Here is a 21,682-nt window from a genome sequence, read left to right as displayed (position 1 = left end):
GTCTCAGCTACTGCAAGCTCCGCCTCCCGGGTTCATGCCATTCTCCTGCCTCAGCCTCCCGCGTAGCTGGACTACAGGCGCCCGCCACCACGCCTGGCTAATTTTTTGTGTGTGTTTTTAGTAGAGGCGGGGTTTCACCATGTTAGCCAGGATGGTCTCGATTCCTGACCTCGTGATCCACCCACATCGGCCTCCCAAAGTGCTGGGATTACAGGTGTGAGCCACCATGCCTGGTCTAGAAATTATTTTATATTTTATACCATTGCCTTATAAGTTCTCAAGCAACTGGAAAATACAATCAGAACGTATTCCTCAAGATTTCAAGGATATTTTACACAAAGTTCTATTGTCTGATTCCTTAGCAGTTGTTACTACTGTTTCCCTAACCTCTAATCTTCTATTGGGTTATTAGTCTTAGAATTGAATTTTGAGAGGTAAGGGCTTGAATTTGAACATAGAAATTTATACAGGTCTGATCAGTAGTTCTTGACATTGTATTATCTGGAAACAAATCTTTAGAACTGAGCTTAAGATGTTTAATGACATTTTGTAGACAGAGTATGATTTCAGTGTAGTTGTTTTTGTTTCTTTCTAGATCTAGTTCAGAGATGAAGTATATCAACTTTTTTTTCCTTTTTGACCCAATGCTAGCAGAAAAACAACACCTTTTAATCATATTTAGTATTTGAAAATGTGTATACAGGTTCCTTTTTATTTTATTTATTTCTTACAGGTTCCTTTTTAATCAGCTTTATTGAGATAGAGTTCATATACTGTATGGTTCATACCACATATGGTTCATATACCATACAGTATATGAACTCACTTTAAGAGTATAATTCAGTGGGTTTAAGGGTATAATTCATTCATTTTAAGGGTATAATTCAGTGGCTTTTAGTATATTTTCTTTTTTTTCTTCTTTTTTTCTTTTTTCGAGACAGGGTCTTGCTCTGTTACCCAGGCTGGAGTGCAGTGACGCAGCCTCAGCTCACTGCAACCTCCACCTCCCAGGTTCAAGCGAATTCTCTTGCCTCAGCATCCTGAGTAGCTGGAACTACAGGCTCACGCCACCACACCCAGCTAATTTTTATATTTTCAGTAGAAACAGGGTTTCACCATGTTGCCCAGGCTGGTCTCGAACTCCTGGCCTCAAGTGATCTGCCTGCCTCAGCCTCCCAAAGTGCTGGGATTACAGGCATGAGCCACCGTGCCTGCCTGTTTTGTAGTGTATTCAAACAGAGTTGTACAACTGTCACCACAATCAGTTTTAGAACCCCAAAAAGAAACCCTGTACTCTTTACCAGTCACTCCCTATCTTCCGTCCACTAACCCCTGGCATCCACTAATTTACATGACCTCTATGAATTTGCCTATTCTGAACATTTTATAAATGGAATTCTAAATACACTACCTTTTATATCTGGATGCTTTTACTAAGCATGTGTATTTTTGAAATTGACTTTAAAGCTTGTTGGCCCCTGGAAGAGTAAATTACTCTCCACCCCAAGTATTCCCTCTACCCCTCAGCTTTGCCTGTAAGTTTCTTTTTAAAAAAATCACACATACATTGTTGTAGTAGATTTAAGAATAAGTATTTTGCTGACCCAAGGTTCTTTTGCTTCTTTCTAGATCAGTGCCTTGCAGGTTTTATTTTACAGAGCTTAATAGAATCAGAAATCTCTTTAAAACTCCAGTCTCATATCCAGTTATCACTCACCATCTCTGTGTTTGCAGCAATAGCCAGGCCTGGCCCAGAGGGACTTGATCTCCACTTTTGGTTTTTAGACTTTTCTGTGGCTTTTACCACCTGCTGTGTATCCTTGACCTCATACTGCTGGACTCCTTTGGATGGATACCAGCAGGATGGTTCAGGCTCCAGTGGGCACTTTTTAAAATTCTCTCCTTCTGTTCAGATAGACAGAGCTCAGGCAGATCACCAAGTCTGTTGCCTGTGTAACCAGGAAAGAGATGCTAGTTTTCTTTTAGGCACTCCCATTTGTTTCTGTTGGAACCTTCCTCACTTAGTTGATGGAAGGGAAGCAAAAGACCCAGAACTCCATCTCAAATTAATGACTTAACAATTCTTGAATTTTCTCTTATCTCCTAGTTAACTCTTTTTCTTATCTCCAGGAGGTCAGTTTTAATTATTGTTGTTTATTCATTTATTTTCATGGAGACAGGGTCTTACTGTGTTGTCCAGGCTGGCCTTGAACCCCTGGCCTCAAGGAATCTTTTCACCTCAGCCTCCCAAAGTGCTGGAATTACAGGCATGAGTCACCACACCCAGCCTGATATTTTTCAGTTGATGTATCATAGTTGTGCCTAAGCATAATTTTTTAATTTTAATTTTTTATTTTTGGGGACAGGGTCTCCCTCTGTCGCCCAGGCTGGAGTGCAGTGATGCGATCTCAGCTCACTGCAACCTCCACCTTCTGGGTTAAAGCGATTCTCCTGCCTCAGCCTCCCGAGTAGCTGGGACTACAGGTACCCACCATCACACCCGGCTAAATTTTTTGTGTGTATTTTAGTAGAGACGAGATTTCGCTGTGTTGCCCAGGGCGGTCTCGAACTCCTGAGCTCAGGCAATCCGCCTGCCTCGGCCTCCCAAAGTGCTGGGATTACAGGCATGAACCACCACGCCCGGCCAAGCGTAATATTTTTAAGGGTCATCAATGTTGTGTCATGAATCAATCAGTGTTTCGTTCTTTTTTATGGTTGAATAATATTCCATGGTATGGATTTGTCACATTTTGTTTATCCATTCATTAGTTGATAGACATTTTGGATTTCCACTTTTTTTTTTTTTTTTTGCTATTATAAATAGTGATACTATGTACAAATTTTTGTGTGGAAATATGTCCTCATATCTCTTGGTTATATACCAAAGAGTGGAAGTGCTGGGTCATATGGTAACTACGTGTTTAACATTTTGAGAAACTGCTAAACTGTTTTCCAAAGTTGCTGTACCGTCGTACATTCCTGCCAGCAATATATGAGGATGCCAGTTCCTTCACATGTTCACTACACTTATCCACCTTTTTTATAATAACTAATGGTGGGTGTGAGATGGTATCTCATTGTAGTTTTGATTTGTATTTCTCTGATGGCTAAATGGCTAATGATGTTTGAACTTTTTGTTTGAGACAGAATCTCACTCTGTCCAGATTCAAGCGATTCTCCTGCCTCAGCCTCCCTAGCAGCTGGGATTACAGGCACATGCCACCACACCCAGCTAATTTTTTGTATTTCTAGTAGAGACAGGGCATTACCATGTTGTTCAGGCTGGTGTCGAACTCCTGACCTCAAAGGATCCGCCTCCCTGGGCCTCCCAAAGTGCTGGATTACAGGCTAGAGCCACCATGCCAGGCCTTATGTTTGAACATCTTTTATGTGCTTATTGGACATTTGTGTATCTTCTTTGGAGAAATGTCTGTTCAAAGTCTTTGTCCATTTTTAATTGGATTGTCTTTTTGTCTTTTGATGTGTAAGAGTTCTTTATGTGTTTTGGATACAAGTTTGTTAGATATATGATTTGCAAATCTTTTCTCCAATTTTTGTGGACTTTTGCTTTCTTTTTTTGTTTTGTTTTTGTTGTTGTTGTTGTTGTTGTTGTTTTGGTCGGGGGACAGTCTTGCTCTGACCACCCAGGCTGGAATGGAGTGGCGCGATCTTGGTTCACTGCAACCTCTGCCTCCTGAGTTCAAGCTATCCTGCTTCAGCCTCCCGAGTAGCTGGGACCCAGGTGTGTGCCACCACTCCCAGCTAATTTTTTATTTTTAGTAGAGACCGGGTTTCACCATGTTGGCCAGGCTGGTCTTGAACTACTGACCTCAGGTGATCTGCCTGCCTCAGCCTCCCAAAGTGCTGGGATTACAGTCATGAGCCACTACACCCTGATTCTTTTTGCTGGCTTTCTTTCTTTTTTTTTCTTTTTTTTTTTGAGACGGAGTCTCGCTCTGTTGCCAGGCTGGAGTGCAGTGGCATGATCTCGGCTCACTGCAACCTCTGCCTCCCGGGTTCAAGCCATTCTCCTGCCTCAGCCTCCCGAGTAGCTAGGACTATAGGCACATGCCACCATGCGCAGCTAATTTTTGTATTTTTAGTAGAGACGGGGTTTCACCATGTTGGCCAGGATAGTCTCGATCTCTTGACCTCGTGATCCGTCCGCCTGGGCCTCCCAAAGTGCTAGGATTACAGACGTGAGCCACCACACTCAGCCTCTTTTTGCTTTCTTGATGGTGTCTTTTGAAACAAAAGTTTTTACTTTTGATAAAGTCCAATTTGTCTATTTTGTTTGTTTGTTTTTGTTAAGAAGCTTTGCCTAACCCAAAGTCACGAGAATTTTCTCTTAGGTTTTCTTCTAAGAGTTTTATAGTTTTAGCTGTTTCTGTGATCCATTTTGAGTGAATTTTTGTGAATGGTATGAGGGAGTGATCCAACTTCATTCTTTTGTGTGTGGATATCAAGTTGTCCCAGCACTATTTGTTTAAACCACTGTTCTTTTCCCCCATTGAATTATCTTGGCATCATTGTCAGAGATAAATTGACCGTAAATGTGAGGGTTTTATTTCTGAACTCTCAAGTCCATTTCATTGGTCTACATGTCCCTATGCCAGTAATACACTATCTTGGTTACTGTAGCTTTTTAGTACGTTTTGAAATGTTTTTAAAATTTGTTTTTCATCTAAATTTTAGGATTAATTTGTCAATTTCTGCACAAAAGGCACCTGGGTTTCTATAGGGGTTATGCAGAATCTGTAGATCAACTGGGGGAGTATTACAGGCATGAGCCACCGTGCCTGGCTGACTGAGTTTTTCATAGATGTACTCTATCAGGTTTAGGAAGTTCCCTTTTATTCCTAGGTTGTTGAGTCTATTTTATATTACTTTTTTAGAGACAGTCTTGCTCTGTCCCTCAGGCTGTAGCACAGTGGCTCAATCATAGCTCACTGCAGCCTTGAACTCCTAGGTTCAAGAGATCCGCCTGCCTCAGCCTTCTTAGTAGCTGGGATTACATGCATGCACCACCATACTGGGCTAATTTTTTAAAATTTTTTATAGAGACAGGGTCTTATTACTATGTTGCCCAGACTGGCATTGAGTCTTTTTATCATTAATGAGCACTGAATTTTGTCAAGTGCCTTTATAATACCTATTGTGATGATCATAGGGTTTTGTTCTTTAGTCTACCGATACGCTATATTGCATTAAGTGATTTTTTTGAATGTTAAACCAACCTTGCATTTTTTTGGTGTATAAGTCTTATTTGATCAATGTGTATTATCCTTTTATATGGTGCTGGATTTAGTTTGCTACTATTTTGTTGAGGATTTTTGTGTCTATATTCATAAGAGATATTGGTCTGTAGTTTCTTGTGATGTCTTTGTCTGGTTTTAGAATCAGGGTAATGCTGGCCTCATAGAATGAATTGGGAAGTGTTGTCTTCTTTTCTATGTGATGGGAGAGTTTGTGAATCATTGGTATTAATTTTTCTGTAAATGTTTGGTAGAATTCACAAATAAAGGCATCTGAGCCTGGGCTCTTCTTTGTGGGAAGTTTTTGGCTTTTTTTTTCTTTAAAAATTTTCATTGTGGCTGGGCATGGTGGCTCACGCCTGTAATCCCAGCACTTTGGGGGGCCAAGACGGGTGAATCACCTGAGGTCGGGAGTTTGAGACCAGCCTGAGCAACGTGGAGAAACCCCATCTCTACTAAAAATACAAAATTAGCTGGGCATGATGGTGCATGCATGTAATCTCAGCTAATTGGAAGGCTGAGGAGGGAGAATCACTTGAACCACGGAGGCAGAGGTTGCAGTGAGCCTAGATCGTGCCATTGTACTCCAGCCTGGGCAACAAGAGCAAAACTCTGTTTCAAGGGAAACAAAGTTTTCATAACATAAAAATTACCATCTTAGTCATTTCTTTTCTTTTTTTTTTTTTGTTGGAGACGGAGTCTTGCTCTGTCACCTATGCTGGAGTGCAATGATTGCAGTCTTGGCTCACTGCAACCTCTGCCACCTGGGCTCAAGAGATTCTCCTGCCTCAGCCTCCTGAGTAGCTGGGATTACAGGCATGCGCCACCATGCCCAGTTAATTTTTGTATTTTTAGTAGAGACGGGGTTTCTCCATGTTGACCAGGCTGGTCTCTAACTCCTCACCTCAAGTGATCCGCCCGCCTCGGCCTCCCAAAGTGCTGGGATTACAGGCATGAGCCACCACGCCCGGCCTTAAAAATTTTTTTAATGTACAGTTGAGTAGTATTTAATACATTCACATTGTTGTGTACCCAGTTTCCAGAACTCTTCATCCTACAGAACTGAAACTCCATACCCATTAAATGAGTCCCCATTCTCTTTCCCCCAGCTCATGGCAAACAGCATTCTATTTTCAGTCTCTATGAATTTGATTAGTTTAGATACTTCATACTGTAAGTGGAATCATATGGTATTTGTCTTTTAGTGACTGCCTAATTTAAAAAAAATTTTTTTGAGACGGAGTCCTGCTCTGTCGCCCAGGCTGGAGTGCAGTGGCACCATCTCTGCTCACTGCAACCTCCACCTCCCAGGTTCAAGTGATTGTCCTGCCTCGGCCTCCCACGTAGCTGGGATTACAGGTGCTCGCCACAACACCCGGCTAATTTTTGTATTTTTAGGTAGAGACTGGGTTTCACCATGTTGGCCAGGCTGGTCTCGAACTCCTGACCTCAAATTATCCACCTGCCTTGGCCTCCCAAAGTGCTGGGATTACAGGCGTGAGCCACTGTGCCCAGCCTCCATGTTGTTTTTCACAACACCTGTATCATTTACATTTCCACCAACAGTACACAAGAATTTCAGTTTCTCCACATCCTTGCTAGCAGTTGTTATTATCTGTTTTTTTTTAATGGTTTCTTTTTTCCTTTTTCTTTTTTTTTTTTTTTGAGACGGTCTTATTCTTGCTCATGCTGGAGTGCAGTGGTGCAATGTGATAGCTCACTGCAGCCTCAACCTCTGGGCTCAAGCAGTCCTGCCACCTCAGCCTCCACATAGGTGGGACTGCAGGTGTGCACCACCACTTGTGGCTAATTTAAAAAATTTTTTCGTAGAGACAGAGTCTCACAGTGTTACCCAGGCTGGTCTTGAACTTCTGAGCACAAGTGATCCTCCCACCTCAGCCTCCCAAAATAATGAGATTAGAGACATGAGCCAACATGCCCAACCAGTTTTGTTTGTTTGTTTTGTTTTGTGTTTTTGAGACAGAGTCTCACTCTATTGCCCAGGCTGGAGTGCAGCGGCATGATCTCAGCTCACTGCAACCTCCGCCTCCCAGGTTCAAGTGATTCTCATGCCCCAGCCTCCTGAGAAGCTGGGATTACAGGTGTACCACCACACCCAGTTATTTTTGTATTTTTAGTAGACATGGGGTTTTGCCATGTTGGCCAGGCTGGTCCCGAACTCCTGACCTCAAGTGATCTGCTCCCCTCAGCCTCCCAAGGTGCTAGAATTAAGTTTTTCTTTCTTTCTTTCTTTCTTTTTTTTTTTTTTTTTGAGACAGAGTCTCACTCTGTCACCCAGGCAGGAGTGCAATGGCACGGTCTTGGCTCATTGTAACCTCTGCCTCCCAGATTCAAGTAGTGATTCTCCTGTCTCAGCCTCCCAAGTAGCTGGGATTACAGGCATGCACCACCACGCCCAGCTAATTTTTTGTATTTTTAGTAGAAACGGGGTTTCACCATGTTGGTCAGGCTGATCTCAAACTCCTGACCCCAAGTGATCCACCCGCCTTGGCCTCCCAAAGTGTTGGGATTACAGGCGTGAGCCACTGTGCCTGGTTTTATTTTTATTATTATTATTTTTAATAGTTCCTATTCTAATGGGTATGAGGTAGTGAGGTGGGTGGTTGTGGTGTTTTTATGAATGTTTAATTGGAAATGGGTGGCCATTGTGTGCAGGAAAAACCTCCTAAATTGTGTCAAACTCCTGGAAAATGAAATATCATTCCAGTTGCAAGAATATCTTTTTTTTTTTTTTTTTTTTTTTAAGACAGAGTCTCACTCTGTCACCAGGCGGGAGTGCAGTGGCACGATCTCGGCTCACTGCAACCTCCGCCTCCTGGTCCGCCTCCCGGGTTCAAGTGATTCTTCTGCCTTAGCCTCCCAAGTAGCTGGGACTACAGGCGCGTGCCACCACTCCTGGCTAATTTTTTTGTATTTTTAGTAGAGATGGGGTTTCACCATGTTGGCCAGGATGGTCTCAATCTCTTGACCTAGAGATCCGCCTGCCTCGGCCTCCCAAAGTGGTGGGATTACAGGGGGGTCACCGTGCCCAGCCACAAGAAGATCTTGAGCATGTGAATGATCAGAAATGATTTAGCCTATGTAGGCACTAGGCCAGGTAGTGAAATTCAGGGAAAATAATTCAGATGCTTCTGAGCTATCACTTATGAACTAAGAAACAGCTTAAAGCCATTATAGTGTGTTTCCTGAAGATGAAAGCATATGGTAAGATGAAATAGTGATTATTTTTTAAAAATTACTACTCCAGAAAGGAAAAGTTTACTAATTTTTATTACTAAAGTTTACTGTTGGTGGGTGCGGTGGCTCACACCTGTAATCCCAGCACTTTGGGAGGCCGAGGCAGGCGGATCACCTGAGGTCAGGAGTTCGAGACCAGCCTGACCAATATGGTGAAACCCCATCTCTGCTAAAAATAAAAAATTAGGCCGGGCGCGGTGGCTCATGCCTGTAATCCCAGCACTTTGGGAGGCCGAGGCAGGTGGATCACGAGGTCAGGAGATTGAGACCATCCTGGCTAACACGGTGAAACCCCGTCTCTGCTAAAAATACAAAAATCAGCCGAGCGTCTTGGCAGGCACCTGTAGTCCCAGGTACTCAGGAGTTTTGAGACGGGAGAATGGCGTGAACCCGGAAGGCGGAGCTTGAAGTGAGCCGAGATTGCGCCGCTTCAGTCCAGCCTGGACGACAGAGTGAGACTCTGTCTCTAAAAAAATAAATAAATAAAAATAAAAAATTAGCTGGGTGTGGTGGCACGCACCTGTACTCCCAGCTACTCGGGAGGCTGAGGCAGGAGAATTGCTTGAACCCGGGAGATGGAGGTTGCGGGGAGCCAAGATTGCGCCACTGCACTCCAGCCTGGCGACAGAGTGAGACTCTTTCTCAGAAAAAAATATGATAATTAAAAGTTGAGACGTTCTTCGCCGAGAGTGGTCGGGGTTTCCTGCTTCAACAGTGCTTGGACGGAACCCGGCGCTCGTCCTGCACCCCGGCCGGCCGCCCATAGCCAGCCCTCCGTCACCTCTTCACCATGCCCTCGGACTGCCCCAAGGCCCCCGCCGCAGCTCCAGCGCCGCGTAGCCACCACTGCCGCTGCCGCCGCCTCTCCTTAGTCGCCGGCATGACGACCGCGTCTACCTCGCAGGTGCGCCAGAACTACCACCAAGACTCAGAGGCCGCCATCAACCGCCAGATCAACCTGGAGCTCTACGCCTCCTCCATTTACCTGTGCGTGGCTTACTACTTTGACAGCGATGATGTGGCTTTGAAGAACTTTGCCAAATACTTTCTTCACCAATCTCATGAGGAGAGGGAACATGCTGAGAAATTGATGAAGCTGTAGAACCAACGAGGTGGCCGAATCTTCCTTCAGGATATCAAGAAACCAGACTGTGCGGGGAGAATGCGATGGGAGAGCGGGCTGAATGCGATGGATTACATTTGGAAAAAATTGTGCATTTTGCATTACATTTGGAAAAAAATGTGAATCAGTCACTACTGGAACTGCACAAACTGGCCACTGACAAAAATGACCCCCATTTGTGTGACTTCATTGAGACACATTACCTGAATGAACAAGTGAAGGCCATCAAAGAATTGGGTGACCACGTGACCAACATGCACGAGATGGGAGCGCCCGAATCTGGCGTGGCAGAATACCTCTTTGACAAGCACACCCTGGGAGACAGTGATAATGAAAGCTAAGCCTCAGGCTAATTTCCCCATAGCCATAGGGTGACTTACCTTGTCACCAAGGCAGCGCATGTATGTTGGGGTTTCCTTTACCTTTTCTATAAGTTGTTCCAAGACACCCACTTAAGTTCTTTGATTTGTACCATTCCTTCAAATAAATAAATTTGGTACCCTCCCCCCCCCCAAAAAAAAAATGTACTGTGGGCTGGCGTAGTGGCTCATGCCTAAATCTCAGCACTTTGGGAGGCTGAGGCGGGAGGATCACCTGAGGTCGGGAGTTTGAGACCAGCCTGGGCAACATGGTGAAACCCCGTGTCTACTAAAAATATAAAAACTAGCCAGTCATGGTGGCACACACCTGTAATCCCGGCTACTTGGGAGGCTGAGGCATGAGAATCACTTGAACCTGGGCTGCGGAGGTTGTAGTAAGCTGAGATCATGCCACTGTACTCCAGCCTGGGTGACAGGGAGACATTCTCTCTCTCAAAAAAAAAAAAAAAAAAAAAAAACAAAACAAACCAACAAAACAAAGTAATCCAGGAACAACAACATGATGAAGGACTGCATGCAGGACTCAGTGATGGATGGTGGAAGACAGCCAGGAAGTTAAGCATGACTCTGGTATTAAGTGTTGTCTGGGAGAGTTAAGATTCCATTTACAGAAATAAGACCTGTAGGGGAAGCTCTTGATTTTTTTTTTTTTGCAGACTGCTGATTTCCTGATTACATGTGTTAAGTTTGAGGTATAGAGAGAAAGAACATCCTGGCCGGGTGCAGTGGCTCACACCCGTAATCCCAGCACTTTGGGAGGCCAAGGTGGGCAGATCACGAGGTCCAGGAGATCGAGACCATCCTGGCCAACATGGTGAAACCCCGTCTCTACTAAAAATACAAAAATTAGCTGGGCGTGGCGGCGCGTGCCTGTTATCCCAGCTACTCAGGAGGCTGAGGCAGGAGAATTGCTTGAACCCGAGAGGCAGAGGTTGTGATGAGCCGAGATCGCGCCACTGCACTCCACCCTGGCAACAGAGCTAGACTCTGTCTCAAAAAAAAAAAAAAGAAAGAAAAAAAGAACATCCTGTAGAAACAGGCAGTCAGAGGTATAGAACTACACAGAATCCAAGAGATCTTTCAAGAAAAGTGACATGCAGCAAGAGAAACTATCAAGGGGGTAAACAACCTATAGAATGGGAGAAAATATTCACAAAGTATACATCCAACAAAAGTCTAATATCCAAAATCTATAAGGAACCTAACAAGCAAAAAGCAAATAACCCCCTTAAAAAGTGGGCAAAGGACATGAACAGATACTTCTCAAAAGACGTACATGTGGCCCACAAACATGAAAAAACGCCCATTTCTAATCATCAGACAAATGCAAATTAGAACCACAAAGAGATACCATCTCACACCAGTCAGAACAGCTTTTGTTAAAATGTCAAAAAATGAGAAACGTTGGTGAGGCTGCAGAGGAAAGCAGACACTTGTACACTGTTGGTGAAGGTGTAAATTAATTTAGCGTAGGCACAGTCAGTTTGGAGATTTCTCAGAGAACTAAGAGTGGAACTACCATTAGACCCAGCAATCTGATGGCTGGATATACGGCCAAAGGAAAATAAATCATTCTGCCAAAAGAACATATGTACCTGTATGTTCATTGTGGCACCATTCACAATAGCAAAAACATTGAATCAACTCATGTGCCCATCAGTGGCGGACTAGAAAAGAAAAGAAAATATGGTACATAGCCATCATGGAATACTATGCACCCATTAAAAATAATGAAATAATGTCTTTGCAACAACATGAATGTAGCTGGAGGGCATTATCCTAAGCAAACTAACACAGAAACAGAAAACCAAATACTGCGTGTTCTCACGCAGTGAGAGTGGGAGCTGAACATCAAGTACACATGGATGTAAAGATGGCAACAATAGACATGGGTCTACTAGAGGTGGTGGTGCGGCAGGGTGGGGGTGGGGGTTGTGTGGCAGAGGAACAGCTGAAAAACTACCTATTTGATACTATACCCAGCACCTGGGAAACGGGTTCAGTCATACCCCAAACCTCAGCATCACACAGTATACCTTTCTAACAAACTTACACATGTATTCTGTGATTCTAAAATAAACATTGAAAAATAAAAAAAAAACTGACATGGTTTGTACTGTTTAATCTGACATAATGGCTAGGGGAAATGAAGTCTGCAGAATGGCTGTTTACGGATGTTGTTGTTGTTGTTGAGATGAGGTCTCACTATGTTGCCCAGGCTTGAACTCCTGGCCTCAAGCAGTCCTCCTGCCTTGACCTCCCAAAATGTTGAGATTACATGCATGAGCCATTGCCAAAACGGCTATTTGGATTGCTGTTAAGGTTATTACATTCTCTGTGTAGTAAGACCTTGAAGGAGAAGGATTTGAGATCAGGAGTTTAAGAAAAAATGTTAATCTAGGAAGAGAGGATAATTTCTGTGTTTGGCCAGTTGCAATGGCTCACGCCTGTAATCCCAGCGTTTTGGGAGGCCGAGCTGGGCAGATCACTTGAGCTCAGGAGTTTGAGAAGAGCCTGGGCAACATGGTGAAGCCCCGTCTCTACTGAAAATACAAAAATTGGCTGGGCGTGGTGGCAGGTGCCCACTGTAATTTCAGCCACTCAGGAGACTGAGGCAGGAGAATTGCTTGAACCTGGAAAGTGGAGGATATGGTGAGCCTAGATCGCGCCACTCTACTCCAGCCTGGGAGACTCCATCTCAAAAAAAAAAGAAAACAAGATGCTGAAATGAAGTAATTACCACAGTCAATGTGATCCTATAACTTTGTTTTGTTTTAGAGATGGGGTCTCCCTCTGTCACCCAGGCTGGAGTGCAGTGGTGCATCATAGCTTTCTGCAGCCTCCACCTCCTGGGCTCAGGTGGTCCTCTTGCCTCAGTGTTCCGAGTAGTTAGGACTGACTGCAGGTGCATGCTGCTATGCCTGGCTAACTTTAAAATTTTTTTGTAGAGGCGGGGTCTTGCTATGTTGCCTAGGCTGGTCTCCAACTCCTGATCTCAATCAGTCCTCCTGCCTACCTTCCCAGAGCGCTGGGATTACAGGTGTGAGCCATCGCACCTAGCCAATCTCATAACATTTTATGACTAGCAAACTTAGTAGTTCTGATTCAGGCATAAATCAGTTGGTGGGGTTATACAAGGTTGGGTGAGTTTTTCTAGATTTCTAAGAGACCATGTTGAAATACTTGGCTCTGTCTCAGTAAGGGATAGAGAGAAGCAAAGGTGTGGGTAAAGGTTATGAGCAGACATGTAAAGGGGGCAAATTAAAGTGTTTAGGGAAGGTGAAACAGTTCCAAATCATAATATAGATCCCAAGCCTCACCAAGAAGTGAAGGAGAGGGTAATTGTGCGATAGTTCTCAGGACTGAGACCTCAAGGTGTAAGACGAATCTTTATTGTGGGTGGTCCTCTTTGAGAAAAAGAACAAAAAAGAAAAATGTGAAATGGGTGCTAAATTTCAGAGCAGAATATACATATATGTGTATGTGTGTGTGTATATATATATATATTTTTATGTAGCAAATTCCAGTTTACAAAGGGCTTTTATGTGTTTTGCATCATTACAACAGTTCTGTGATGATGTGGATGTGGTGGATATTGTAATTCCACATCACAGAGGATAAAATTGAGGCACACCATAAGGTAGCTGACCAGAGATCATGCAGTATATGGTAGAATGGCAACTTGAGGCCAGTTCTTAGGTGTGTTTGTTGTCCTTATTCAGAATGGAACAATGTGGTTTATTGTACAAAAATTTAAAAATGAATGTCGAAAAGTAGAAATTATTACCCAAATCTCACCCTCTGTGGTTGTTTGCTATGTGATCTTCCAGACTCACATATACATGTAGATAATTTTTTTTTTTTTTTTTTGAGACGGAGTCTTGCTCTGTCGCCCTGGCTGGAGTGCAGTGGCGCAATCTCGGCTCACTGCAGGCTCTGCCTCCTGGGTTCACGCCATTCTCCTGCCTCAGCCTCCCAAGTAGCTGGGACTACAGGCGCCCACCATCACCTCCAGCTAATTTTTTGTATTTTTAGTAGAGACGGGGTTTCACCATGTTAGCCAGGATGGTCTCGATCTCCTGACCTCATGATCCGCCTGCCTGGGCCTCCCAAAGTGCTGGGATTACAGGAGTGAGCCACTGTGGCCGTCCTCACATGTAGATACTTTTTTAACTTTTTGCTTTTAACCACTTAAGATATTGTGAACTCATTTCCAAATTAACATATATTTGCTTTTAACAGCTACATTTCCACTGGAGTTACGTACCATTTGTAATCTATTCCTGGAAATTTAGATGGTTACAACTGTTTTTTATTTTATTTATTTATTTATTTAGAGACGGAGTCTGACTCTGTCACCCAGGCTGGAGCGCAGTGGTGTGATCTTGGCTCACTGCAACTTCCACCTCCGGGGTTCAAGTGATTCTCCTGCCTCACCCTTCCGAGTAGCTGGGACTACGGGCGCACACCACCACGCCTGGCTAATTTTTGTATTTTTAGTAGAGACGGGGTTTCACCATGTTGGCCAGGATGGTATTGATCTCTTGACTTCATGATCTGCCGGCCTTAGCCTCCCAAAGTGCTGGGATTACAGGTGTGAGCCACCACGCCTGGCCTCAACTGTTTTTTATTATAAATAATGCTGTAGGCCGGGCGCGGTGGCTCACTTATGTAATCCCAGCACTTTGGGAGACTGAGGCGGGTGGATCCCGAGATCAGGAGATCGAGACCATTCTGGCTAACAAGGTGAAACCCCGTCTCTACTAAAAATACAAAAAATTAGCCGGGTGTGGTGGTGGGTGCCTGTAGTCCCAGCTACTTGGGAGGCTGAGGCAGGAGAATGGCGTGAACCTGGGAGGCGAAGCTTGCAGTGAGCAGAGATCGCACCACTGCCCTCCAGGCTGGGCGACAGAGCGAGACTCCGTCTCAAAAAATAATAATAAATAAATAAATAAATAAAGCTGTGTACAGCCTGGCCAACACTTTGGGAGGCCGAGGCAGGCAGATCACAAGGTCAGGAGTTCGAGACCAGCCTGACCAACATGGTGAAACCCCATCTCTACTAAAAATACAAAAGTTAGCCGGGCATGGTGGCACATGCCTGTAATCTCAGCTATTCAGCAGGCGGAGGCAGGAGAATCGCTTGAACCCACGAGGCGGAGGTTGCAGTGAGCCAAGATCGCGCCACTGCACTCCAGCTTGGGTGACAGGGCGAGACTCTGTCTCAAAAAAAAAAAGAAGAAAAAATCCTTTATTCTGGTTTTCCCGTAGCTTCCACAGATCCAAAAGGGTCAGGTTTATTTCCAGTAGCCAAATATTCTGCCATCTGGACTGAGATATCTCCTAGGTTGAGGTTATTATAGAGGTAGTAACCTGATTCTTTCTTCCTTTTCTCCTTCCCCTTTCCTCCTTTGCCTCCCTCCTCTTTTCTTCCTCTGTATTTATTTTATCATTCCTTCTTCCTTTCTTATTTCTAGGCCATATAGGCCAGCCAGGGAAAGGTTAGTAAGGGGTGACATTGATCCCTATGACCTGAGGAATATTCTTCGACCTTGAGACATGCCGATTATGCTCTTCTTTTCCTAGGATGCTCACAACTGTATTCCTGAGCTGGACAGTGAGACAGCCATGTTTTCTGTCTACGATGGACATGGAGGTAACTTTAACAGATCATATTGGTAACATTCTAGGACCCCAATTCCAGACGTTCCAGGGCAAGAACAGGTCCCTTTGTTCATTTACTTTCCAGGGTCTGGCCCTCATTATCATTTCCTGCGTGGTGCTGTTTTTCTGTATTCTGTCATTCTTTTTTCCCAGTAGGTACTGTATTGGTTTATAATCTCACCAGGACTTGTTTTAATCCAAAGAGCCTCTATCTTTTTTTATTTTTATTTTTTAAAATTTTTAGGCTGGGCACGCGGTAGGTCACACCTGTAATCCCGGCACAGTGGATCACGAGGTCAGGAGTTCGAGACCAGCCTGACCAATATGGTGAAACCCCATCTCTACTAAAAATACAAAAATTAGCTGGGCGTAGTGGTGGGCGCCTGTGGTCCCAGCTGCTCGGAAGGCTGAGGCAGGAGAATCGCTTGAACCTGGGAGGTGGAGGTTGCAGTGAGCCAAGACCATGCCACTGCACTCCAGCCTGGGCAACAGAGCAAGACTCTTGTCTTAAAAAACAAAAAAGTGTACCCAGTTGAGCTGATTCTTTATCTTTTTTTCACTGGAGAACTAAGTATACAGGTGAGAAAAGACGAGATATTTATACCCGAGAGAATTGATGGTGAAATCCATTTTTTTGGATCAGAACTTCCCCAAACAGTGTCCTTCAAATAGGGTTCAGGGGTGCTAAGATATTTATCCCCTCAACCCTTGGGGTTCACTCCAGTATGGCATATAAATATTGTATCACTTTCTATGTGTGGGGAGCAGTGCTCCAGGTGACCTTCCTTCCTTTCCTTCTAGGGGAGGAAGTTGCCTTGTACTGTGCCAAATATCTTCCTGATATCATCAAAGATCAGAAGGCCTACAAGGAAGGCAAGCTACAGAAGGTCTGTCTGCTTACACCGCCCATTCCTCACTTGTGTAGGCTTTTCCCTTGTTCTCTAGCCCTTGGGCTTTTCCTTTCTTTTTGTCCTCTAGCTGCTGCTGCTTATTTACTCTTGAAGAATTCTGTTCCTAAAACGAGCTTATTGGCCGCCTTTTAGACTTGCCTTATTATTCCTAGGCCTCTGAGCTGTTTTTATCTGTGAGTGTCTCTTAGTGTGGTGGCTCACACTCTTAATTTGTATTCCATCCTTGTGCTCAGGATTGTATATAGGGAGTTCATTTTGTACTAGTCTTAGACTATTTTGCTTATATTCAGGCTTTAGAAGATGCCTTCTTGGCTATTGACGCCAAATTGACCACTGAAGAAGTCATTAAAGAGCTGGCACAGATTGCAGGGCGACCCACTGAGGATGAAGATGAAAAAGAAAAAGTAGCTGATGAAGATGATGGTGAGTGTGGCATCCCTTGTTTGAGGGGAAATCAGCATTTTAAGAAATATTCTTTAATATTACTTATCAATTCTAAGATAGGATGGCTTTCTAGGGACCTGGGGAGTCCTTATGTTAAAGAAACCTATGATGTTCTCCTGCATTGTATGTGGTTATGAAAAGGAGGGAGAGAATTATCTTCGTTGAGTGGCATCTGAGCTGTAAGCATTGTATATACATTATCTTTTGTCATTGTGATGGGGTCTTCCTGGTTCCTGCTAGTATTTATGTGCTTTTTTTTCCCCTCAAGACTGGAGCAGTTATTAGCCCCAATAGCCAATCATTAAGCCTAAATCCTAATTCACAGTAGCATTGTGGGCTTCCTGGATCCTCAGCCAGAATAGGGTTTTTACAACTTAACAATAAAAAATGAGACGTCAGAGGGGAAGTATAGTAACTAGTGTTGTTTTGATTAAGAAGGGGATGAAACACAAAAACCAAAAGAAGTCTGTGGAGGAGGAGGAGCTAGGGCATGTTCTTCTGAGACTTGAGCGAGAGGAACCTTGGGAGTGGGAGGTTGTGGGGAAGTTAGAGGCTGCAAGGGCTGTTGAGGTAGTGAGAGGGACGGATCCCATGAGGAGTCTGGCATGGGGGCTCTGATTTAGCCTCTTCCCTGCAGTGGACAATGAGGAGGCTGCACTGCTGCATGAAGAGGCTACCATGACTATTGAAGAGCTGCTGACACGCTACGGGCAGAACTGTCACAAGGGCCCTCCCCACAGCAAATCTGGAGGTGGGACAGGCGAGGAACCAGGGTCCCAGGGCCTCAATGGGGAGGCAGGACCTGAGGACTCAACTAGGGAAACTCCTTCACAAGAAAATGGCCCCACAGCCAAGGCCTACACAGGCTTTTCCTCCAACTCGGAACGTGGGACTGAGGCAGGCCAAGTTGGTGAGCCTGGCATTCCCACTGGTGAGGCTGGGCCTTCCTGCTCTTCAGCCTCTGACAAGCTGCCTCGAGTTGCTAAGTCCAAGTTCTTTGAGGACAGTGAGGATGAGTCAGATGAGGCGGAGGAAGAAGAGGAAGACAGTGAGGTAAGGGCCTGTGAGGGCAGGCAGATGCTGAAGTTGCAGAGAGGTCCTGTTTGGTTGCCGTCTGTAGTTTTCAACTCTCTTTCCTTCTCCTATTTTGACATCATCCCCCAAGACCCACTGTATTCTAAGCTTTAGTCTTGAATTCATTGAGCTCCATCATCACAGGTACCATTTGCCTTTTTACCTCTTCCTTTGTTGGTACTATAACAAGCAGATCTAGTTCTGGCTTTTCAGAGTCTGTCTCCTAGAGAGAGAACAAGGAGATAGTTGTTACCTTGGCTAGTTGACTGTTTTCTTCTCTGGAAAATTTATTTTCTGGCCACAGTGCCTGAAAGATATTTTTGGCTGGCAGCCCTTGCCTTGTCCTGGGCTTTTTGCTAGTGACTGCTAAGCCCAGTTCAGGATGTCAGTTGTACTCATGCTAGCCCTTTCCATCCCCCCAATTTTCATGACCATATACTTGTATCTTTCAGTGTTTTGAGGACCTGTGTTCAGTCAGGACCTCTTGATTCTGAGTATGAGCTGTGGGGAGGGAGGGGATCATCCCAGTCTCAGCAGTCTGGGATCCTCCCCCTGGCAGGAATGCAGCGAGGAAGAGGATGGCTACAGCAGTGAGGAGGCAGAGAATGAGGAAGATGAGGATGACACCGAGGAGGCTGAAGAGGACGATGAAGAAGAAGAAGAAGAGATGATGGTGCCAGGGATGGAAGGCAAAGAGGAGGTGTGTGGGGAAGGGGAGCAATGAGTCTTGAAAAGCCACAAGGCAGGTGTGAATCCCCTAATTTTGATTTTGAGACAGGGGATCCCCCTGATACTTTAGGATGGAAGTAATAGTCATGGGGATTTATTCTGCAAGGGGAATGAGATGGTAAGCCTTTGGGGTTGAATTATCTAAAAACAAGGGAGAGGGAGTGTGCTGCTGTCTCTAGAAAGATGAAATGTGTGCTTCTCCTGTTTGTTAAAGCTCTTTTGGGGGTCCCAGTGAAAGCAAGCATAGGTGAACGATCAGGAGCACATCAGTGAGGAACGCATGTTCAGAAGCCCCCATGATGCTCCTTTTCTTCCTCTTAAGCCTGGCTCTGACAGTGGTACAACAGCGGTGGTGGCCCTGATACGAGGGAAGCAGTTGATTGTAGCCAACGCAGGAGACTCTCGCTGTGTGGTATCTGAGGCTGGCAAAGCTTTAGACATGTCCTATGATCACAAACCAGAGGATGAAGTAGAACTAGCACGCATCAAGAATGCTGGTGGCAAGGTCACCATGGATGGGCGAGTCAACGGGGGCCTCAACCTCTCCAGAGCCATTGGTAAGGGCCAAGAAACTGGGAAAGACTTCTAGGGTCTTTCTCTCTGTCCCAGACTACCTAGTAGCAAACTTTAATCTTCCTAGTGCTTGTGCCTTTCAAAGCACTTTAATATCTACTACCTCTGTTCTTATATTTCTGTGAAATAACTAAGATGGGTAGAGGTATCATTATACATAGGTATCATTATACCCATCTTATGTAACATTTGAATGATGAAAAAGACCTGTGAGTGCCGGGCGTGGTGGCTCACGCCTGTAATCCCAGCACTTTGGGAGGCTGAGGCTGGTGGATCGCCTGAGGTCAGGAGTTCGAGGCCAGCCTGGCCAACATGGTGAAACCCCATCTCTACTAAAAAAAAAAAAAAATACAAAAATTAGCTGGGCATGGTAGTGCAAGCCTGTAATCCCAGCTACTCAGGAGGCTGAGGCAGGAGAACCGCTTGAATCCGGGAGGCGGAGGTTGTAGTGAGCCGAGATCGTGCCATTACACTCCAGCCTGGGCTACAAGAGTGAAACTCCGTCTCAAAAAAAAAAAAACAAAAAAGACTTAAAATAAAAAGACCAGTGAGTGACTTTCTTAAGGTTCAGCAGTCTGGTGGCAGGGTTGAAACTAGAAAAACTAGGACTTAGGACTCAGTTCCCCATTCCACTAGATTATGGAACTTTGTAAAGAAGGGAAATGAATGGCAAGGTTTGACCTGCCACAAACACAAGTCTGTGGGAAGTATCCAAACTGCTCATCAACCATTCCTTTACTCCAGGGGACCACTTCTATAAGAGAAACAAGAACCTGCCACCTGAGGAACAGATGATTTCAGCCCTTCCTGACATCAAGGTGCTGACTCTCACTGACGACCATGAATTCATGGTCATTGCCTGTGATGGCATCTGGTGAGCACTGGCAGAATGCCCTAAATTCCCCTTTCTGCAGCATGTCTTCTCTTATAGGACTCAGGGCACCTCTAGGATTAGAGCCTAGGCAGACCTAGGCCTCTTGGTGGGTGAAGAGCACCCAGACTAAGGCAGAGCTGAGAATTTCTGTAGTTATTTACACTGGCCTGGGCCACCACCTCTGTCCATACTCCTCTACGCTGCCTTAGTGAGACTGGAAGATTCTGACTGTTGTTCTTGACCCCAGGAATGTGATGAGCAGCCAGGAAGTTGTAGATTTCATTCAATCAAAGATCAGCCAGCGTGATGAAAATGGGGAGCTTCGGTTATTGTCATCCATTGTGGAAGAGGTGAGTACCAGGGTGGAGAAGAGAGGGTGTCTGGTCTGCACAGCCAGGGTTCACTCTTTTAATCTGAGCTAAGTCGGCAATCTGGGAGCATTATCAGTAATTGCTGACAGACGCTAAACCCCGACTCCAAAGTTCCACCTTCTGTCATTTCCCTGACTTAGCCTTATGCCTTATGGACTAGCAGGTGGGCCGTTGTGTGATACCTCTTGCCCATTCCTCTCCTACCACCCTGACTCAGCAAGCCAGCCCTCTTGTGGGACTGTAGATTCCTGGCAAGGTGTTCAAACCCTGTGGCTGAGCTACCCCCATCCCTTTCTTAGCTGCTGGATCAGTGCCTGGCACCAGACACTTCTGGGGATGGTACAGGGTGTGACAACATGACCTGCATCATCATTTGCTTCAAGCCCCGAAACACAGCAGAGCTCCAGCCAGAGAGTGGCAAGCGAAAACTAGAGGAGGTGCTCTCTACTGAGGGGGCTGAAGAAAATGGCAACAGCGACAAGAAGAAGAAGGCCAAGCGAGACTAGCAGTCATCCAGACCCCTGCCCACCTAGACTGTTTTCTGAGCCCTCCGGACCTGAGACTGAGTTTTGTCTTTTTCCTTTAGCCTTAGCAGTGGGTATGAGGTGTGCAGGGGGAGCTGGGTGGCTTCACTCCGCCCATTCCAAAGAGGGCTCTCCCTCCACACTGCAGCCGGGAGCCTCTGCTGTCCTTCCCAGCCGCCTCTGCTCCTCGGGCTCATCACCGGTTCTGTGCCTGTGCTCTGTTGTGTTGGAGGGAAGGACTGGCGGTTCTGGTTTTTACTCTGTGAACTTTATTTAAGGACATTCTTTTTTATTGGCGGCTCCATGGCCCTCGGCCGCTTGCACCCGCTCTCTGTTGTACACTTTCAATCAACACTTTTTCAGACTAAAGGCCAAAACCTAATCGTACGCATCGTGTCCTTTTTTTTCTGCTGCCGTGGCCCCCGACTTGGTCCCATCTGTAGCATGTGGCGAGCCCCCATGTGAGTGTGTGCGTGTGCTCGTGTGTGTCCTGCGCGTGTAT

At 45.2% G+C, this 21,682-nt stretch overlaps 1 protein-coding gene and 1 pseudogene across 2 annotated transcripts in view, besides 1 other annotated feature; both read left to right on the top strand.

The window, feature by feature from the left end:
- PPM1G (protein phosphatase, Mg2+/Mn2+ dependent 1G) overlaps positions 1–21,562 on the top strand; it is a 28,393-nt gene extending 6,831 nt beyond the window's left edge. The window contains exons 2-10 of the mRNA NM_177983.3: positions 15,603–15,672; positions 16,482–16,567; positions 16,882–17,014; positions 17,673–18,088; positions 18,669–18,809; positions 19,161–19,395; positions 20,156–20,285; positions 20,533–20,635; positions 20,956–21,562. Coding sequence (NP_817092.1) covers positions 15,603–15,672; positions 16,482–16,567; positions 16,882–17,014; positions 17,673–18,088; positions 18,669–18,809; positions 19,161–19,395; positions 20,156–20,285; positions 20,533–20,635; positions 20,956–21,162 — 1,521 coding nt within the window. The 3' untranslated portion in view covers positions 21,163–21,562. The remainder of the gene's footprint in view (positions 1–15,602; positions 15,673–16,481; positions 16,568–16,881; positions 17,015–17,672; positions 18,089–18,668; positions 18,810–19,160; positions 19,396–20,155; positions 20,286–20,532; positions 20,636–20,955) is intronic.
- Positions 6,956–7,457: an enhancer, noted in NCBI's record as "H3K4me1 hESC enhancer chr2:27618171-27618672 (GRCh37/hg19 assembly coordinates)". NCBI's record gives its function as "activates a minimal SCP1, AML or CMV promoter by ChIP-STARR-seq in primed H9 embryonic stem cells {active_cell/tissue: H9 hESC(primed)}" and the evidence as "EXISTENCE:reporter gene assay evidence [ECO:0000049][PMID:30033119]".
- On the top strand, positions 9,185–10,138 carry FTH1P3 (ferritin heavy chain 1 pseudogene 3; annotated as a pseudogene). Its single transcript, NR_002201.1, has one exon. The product of NR_002201.1 is annotated as a ferritin heavy chain 1 pseudogene 3 (transcript).

The sequence above is a fragment of the Homo sapiens genome, chromosome 2, assembly GCF_000001405.40.
Source record: "Homo sapiens chromosome 2, GRCh38.p14 Primary Assembly".
NCBI lineage: Eukaryota > Metazoa > Chordata > Mammalia > Primates > Hominidae > Homo > Homo sapiens.
Note: the sequence above shows the minus strand (reverse complement) of the source record. Positions and strands in the feature narration are given on the sequence as shown.